The sequence below is a fragment of the Homo sapiens genome, chromosome 2, assembly GCF_000001405.40.
Source record: "Homo sapiens chromosome 2, GRCh38.p14 Primary Assembly".
NCBI lineage: Eukaryota > Metazoa > Chordata > Mammalia > Primates > Hominidae > Homo > Homo sapiens.
Genome location: NC_000002.12, coordinates 5,744,651 through 5,750,981, shown reverse-complemented (window position 1 = coordinate 5,750,981; position 6,331 = coordinate 5,744,651).

Below are 6,331 nucleotides of genomic sequence, written 5' to 3'. Positions count from 1 at the left end.
GGGAATTATTGTTTAATGGGATCGGAGTTCAGTTGGGGATGTTGAAAAGAGTTCTAGAGACAAACGGTGATGACAGTTCCACAACAATGTGATTGTACTTACTGCTACTGAGTAGTACAATTAGAAATGATTAAGATATGTAAATTACATGTTGAGTACATTTTACTATAATTAAAAAAGTTGTTGAAATTTTAAAGCAATACAGACCTGAACGTACTAAGGTACTAACACTGTCTTCACTACTGGAAATCTCTTTCCCTGTCACATCTCCCAATTTTAGCCCTTCTTCAAGGCCCAGGTGAGATGCTACCACCTTTATCAACCTTTCCTGATCTTCCCAGCAAATGTAATCCCTTCTTAACTTGAGTTACCGAATGCCATATTCCTGGACCTGTTACATCCTTCTTGAGGGCAAAACCCCAGTCTGTTATGTGTCCTAACCCCGTAGCACCTAGCATAAGACTTTGCACATAGAAGGTCCCTGATGTTTAAAGGGTGAGTGAACAAATCAACAAATAGAAGTTAATTGCTCTGTCTTTGATATTATTGTAGCTTCAAGAATCCCAGCAAGATTGTCAGTCTCAGTGAAGCCTTTCTGCAAAACCAAGACCTGAGCTCAAGGAAGCTGCTATTTAAAACCAGACGTGAGAGTCAAAGACAATTATCCATTGAACAAGTACTTCAAAATGGCACTAGGCAAGTTTTACTTCATTGAAGTATCACAATCACTTCACGAAATGTGTAATGTTATTTCCATTCTACAGCTGGGTAAAGGCTTGAGGATGTCACATAGCTTGCCTGAAGTTCAAGTACAAGCAAATGGAAAAGCCAGGGTTGGAATCAAGTGACCACACTGTATGCTTACCTACTCTCCCATATTGCCAATAAAATAAAGTCTATCTGACCTCGCCCCTAGTGGCTTTCTTAAAATGGTAAGTTAGTGTTGAGCAGAAGAACCTGTGGGCATGTTCGAGAATATTTGACTCAAAGGTTAGCAGTAGCTCTTGTGAAAGGCATGCTGGCATCTCTGCTGCGAGTGTGGGTTGTGGGGAGTAGATGGGGAGAACTGCTTCTCCATTCAATTAATTTTAGGTTCCCATTTCGTCACTTTGTGAAAATGACTGCTATTTTTATCAAATTTTCTGCAATTTTAAAAAAATGATCTTAAAATGTCAAGGAGTTAAAAAAAATCTTCTCAAAATGGCCTTTCCTTGTGGCAAAAATTTCTAAATCTTAAGTGTACAGAATGTTGGGTGATAAGCCTGGCAGCCAACATTGGGAGCCTAAGCTAACATTTCATTTGTAGAGCAATTTCAAACTCTGTTTGGGGGACAGGGTTGCCCCAGGCAAAAAGTGACAAATGGGTTGGGAAATTAAGAGAGTGAAAGAAGTCCCTGAGCCAGAGATGGGCAGCACCGTCTGACAAGCAAACTGGGGCAGGTGCCAACCGCCGGCCGAAAGCCAAAGGCTCTGCATTATGAATGTGGCAGCTCAGCAGGACAGACGTACCCTGCCCTGACTCCACCATCCAAGCATGGGACTATTCTCAGAAAATGTCCAGGACCCGGGATAGGCCACTGCTGGCGGTTTCATTGTAGAAGCCTGCCGCTGAACTCAGCAAAGAAGGAAACTTCAGCCTCTCACCTGAACAAGTTACTATGACTTCTCCTGGAGCACAGGAAGGAGGGCCGAAGAAGACCTTTCTCCTGCTGGGAGTTCAGCTCTAGCCCATTTTGCTTCTCTGAGACCAGACCAATGCTGTGATTCTGTTGGAAAACCTTCCGCAAATGCAGTGCCTGGGCTTCATCAGTGTTTCAGACCTTTGGTCCTAGCAGCTCACCACTGAATGCTTTCAGATTCCTCGGAAATGAGTTCACCCAACAAATATTAACTGAGAAATACTGTGTCAGTCCCTGTTCTAGGCTCTGGGGTTAGGGAAGTCAAGAGGGCACTGGAAATACATACAGACATGAGTTTACAAACTCGTGGGGAGGAGAGAATAAGCAAGGAAAGGATATAGTAAATGAGGGTTAGAAAGCACTGCTGAAAAGAAGGCAGGCAAAGGGAGCAGGGGATGGGCTGGGGAGTGCCACAGCTTCATAGGGTGGGTGGGTTCTCCCTCAGGAGGAAATATTTCACCAGACTTGAAGGAAAGGGGTAGGATAACAGGGCACCTGGGGAATGAGTCCTAGGCAGAAGGGAGAGAGAAGTAAAGGCCCTGAGGTATACTGTGGCCAACAGGTGCAAAGAGCACACAGCAAGAAGGCCAGAGAGTCCAGGGCAGATGGAGAAAGGGTGGCATCTTAAGATGTGGTGTGAGAGATGCAAGGAGCACAGGGAGACTAGGGGCTGCAGGGCATTGCATGGCTCAGATGCAGTGAGGCACAGAGAGATCAGGGCTGCAGGGCATGACATGGCTCAGATGCAACAGGGCACAGAGAGATCAGGGCCCCAGGGCATTGCATGGCTCAGATGCAACAGCGCACAGAGAGAGCAGGGCTGCAGGGCATTGCATGGCTCAGATGCAACAGCACACAGAGAGATCAGGGCCCCAGGGCATTGCATGGCTCAGATGCAACAGCGCACAGAGAGAGCAGGGCTGCAGGGCATTGCATGGCTCAGATGCAACAGGGCACAGAGAGATCAGGGCCTCAGGGCATTGCACGGCTCAGATGCAACAGCACACAGAGAGAGCAGGGCTGCAGGGCATTGCATGGCTCAGATGCAACAGGGCATAGAGAGATCAAGGCTGCAGGGCATTGCATGGCTCAGATGCAACAGTTGTCACCAGTGAAATGGGGAAGACCACAGAAGATAAAGGCCCATGAGTGGGAAACAAGGAATTTAGCTTTGCTCACGCTAAGTAGATGTTTCTTAGAAATTCAAGGGAGAATATCTACTAGGCCAATGAACATACGAAACTGGATTTTGGGGGTGAGACTGGGGCTGGAGACGGAAAGTTGGGTGTTGTCAGCAGACTGAAGGTATTTAAACAAGTAGAGACAGATGAGGTCATCAGGAGAACAAGCCAGGTAAAAGAGAAGATGTTCAAAGTTGAACTTTGGGTCACTCCAATGCTAAATGGTTGAGAAGATGAGAGAAGCCAACACAGGATGCTAAGAAAAGCATCCACTGACTTAGAGGCAAAACCAGAGGAACATGGTGCCCGGAAAGCCAGGTGAAGAGCTTTCCTGGGGGCAGGAGTAGCCGGTTGGGCCAGGCAGTGCTGCTGAAGCTCAGGATGTAGCTGGTGAGCCCACCCTTGGACTCAGCAGTGAGAGGCCACTGTGACTTTGGAGGAGCTTCAGGCAGTCGTAGGATGATGCTCTGATGGGAGCAGGTTTAAAAGGAAACAGGAGAGAAGAACTAGAGAAGGTAAATTGAGACAACTCTTTTCAGGAGTTTTGTTTTAAAGGTAAAACTAAATGGGATTGTAGTTCAAGGGAAAATAGGGTAAATAACATGATTTTCTTGTTGTTATTATTGTTTAATTATTTATTGAAGAGAGCAGAAGGAACAGGATGTTTGTGGGTTGATGAGAATGCTCCAATGGAGATGAAAAAGTTTATGATCAGGAAATGAGAGAAGTGTCTGCAGCAATGTCCTGGGATGGGTACCAAGGGATGGGTGGGTCCAGAGGAGGGGTGCACCTGAGACAGGTAAAAGGTGGGCCCTTTTTTATCTGCAAGAACAGGATCCACATCCTGGCAGGGAAGAGAGATGGGCCATGAGAGCTGGTGAGAGGTTTTCATGGCTGCGTCACTTTTCCCAGCCAACAAGGAAATGAAATCATTGGTTGCTGATGTGGAGGATGGAGGAGGATGTTCAAATCTGCGGGAGGGGTATGAAACAGTTGTCTAGTAGAGGAGAGTGAATGGCCCTGGCAAATGCTGGGTCACTATCCATGCCCATTTGAGGTTAAAGATCATGCATTAAAAGTGGGTCCAATTCCAATGGCCATACTGCTTTACTCCAGGACATTCCACTGCCAGGTGACGGGGTGTCTAAGAAAACCCTTGAAACCTCTAATGTTAATAATAAAAACCAGGATATACTCAGATGAAGAAGGGTACAGCTTTTCAAAAATATTTATCTGGATGTAGGGCTTAACAGTTTATGTGAACTTGAGTGTGAGTTCATTTTAGAAACAAGTGAGTTGCTGATGCATGCGGCCATCTCATGATAGCTGGCTCATAAATGACACAGAAAAACGTCCGTGGAAAGTCCAACTGCTGGGATGGACAAAACATCAAACCAAGTGTATGGAGATTGTGTTTTCGATGCCACATCTGGCCATCCAGGGTGGTGCCGTCTCCAGCAAATCATCCCACCTCTCTGATTTTCAGGGCTTTATCTAAAAATGAGAAAAATTGAAGGTGACCGTGTCCTGGCATTAGCACTGAGAGTCTCTGGGAAAACCTTCAGCCCAGGTTGTGCTGAGATGGTCATTCCCTCTTCTCCAAGAGTATTGAACCAGAGCAAAGAAAGGAACTGGAGACAGAACTGGGGATCCACAAACCAAAAAGCTGTTATTAGGGTTCACTGGGCCAAGCCTGGCTGCCCTTCCAAGAATAGCTTAAAGAGAAAAGCAGAGGAAAGCAACCTCCTAACTGTGGCTCCAGGCGCTGCCACTCATGGTGGAGTTGATGTGGGGTTCAATGAAATGCAAGAAACAATCGAGTGAGTTTTTCACAAAGTGATTTTGGTCCATTTAAACTCCAGTCCTTCAAGACTGTAACCTTCTGCTTTTCGGTATTGAAAGTTTTTTCTTTTATGAAAAGGGGTCAGCTTGTTTCTTAATTCTCTTATTTGGCAAAAGGCGGAGTTGTCAACTTTATGTCTGTCCTCCGGCTTCTTCGGCACATTTTTCTGCTCTGAAATCCACAAGGCTGAGAACCCGTGCCTTACAGTCCATGATAAGCTCTGGAATTTACACAGCTCACCTGTCTGCCCCAAACATGGTTCTGCCTCCCTCCCAATCCCTGAACCACCTGAGGTGTGCTTCCGTGAGGAGTTGTGGAGTTGTGGCTGCCCGGGCGTTCTGACAGCCCCTGCAATCTGTCCTCCTGACACACTTAGCTTTTGAACTTTAAATAGGCTAGGTCAGGTCACTTTCCATACAAAAATACTCATTTCTTTGAACTTCTCTCACAGATCCAGCAAGACCACATTCAGTGGCATTCAGAAGATGCCTTCAAAGCTGGCCCTTTGTATTGGGCCTTCTTCTTTTCAGGTATGTTATAAAAGTTGGTTAAGTTAATCAAAAAATATGTTAATTTTCTGCATTTAAATAACTTTAAGGCTAGCCTTAGGTGAGGTGGGCTCAGAATTCAATTGCAACCCTTTCTGGAAAACAAAATCCTTCCTCCTGACCAATCTTCAAGGAAAGGGGAGAAGAAAAGAGAAAAGCAAAAGAAAACCGGCAAGCCCTGGAGTATTTACTAGATGGGGGTGGGGGGGACTGAACCTTCCATTTGATCTGCAGATTGAAAGTGTAAGTGAGGGTATGTTCAGCCTTATTGTACACATGAAGTTCAGGAAGTGCAGACCACTTGCTCAAATCACACAGCTAGCAAATGGCTGAGATTTGAAACCAACAAAACAAAGCCACACTCATCCAAAGGGGCTTTCCCATGATCTGTGAGACACATTTATCTAACAGTTTCTTGTTCTCCTAGCATTTGGGTTTATTTTGGTTATTTGTTTTCCTCTTGAAGCAAATAGGGTTGCCAAGATCATTGAGGGTGGCAGAGGCTTCAAAACATTGAAGGTAGCAATGGCTCTTTGCTCTTTAAATTGTCCTTTGGGTTTTGGTGTCTCCAGAATCCCACAAGACGATGTTTCAGGCCCAGCCAGTACTCACCGAATGCACATTCACATCTAGCATTCTGGTGAGCATAGTGAGGCTGCCCGGGGAGGAGTTTGAAAGAGCTTTTAGATAAGTTATTTTGCAGGGATTGTCTCTAGCTGACTCTAGAACAGCATTCAAAATGCAGAAACTCTTCCTGATGAAAGGCTCATCTAGATGTCATCCCCAGCATACAAAACAAATTAGCCGGCCGGGCGCGGTGGCTCACGCCTGTAATCCCAGCACTTTGGGAGGCCGAGGCGGGCGGATCACGAGGTCAGGAGATCGAGACCATCCCGGCTAAAACGGTGAAACCCCGTCTCTACTAAAAATACAAAAAATTAGCCGGGCGTAGTGGCGGGCGCCTGTAGTCCCAGCTACTTGGGAGGCTGAGGCAGGAGAATGGCGTGAACCCGGGAGGCGGAGCTTGCAGTGAGCCGAGATTGCGCCACTGCACTCCAGCCTGGGCGACAGAGCGAGACT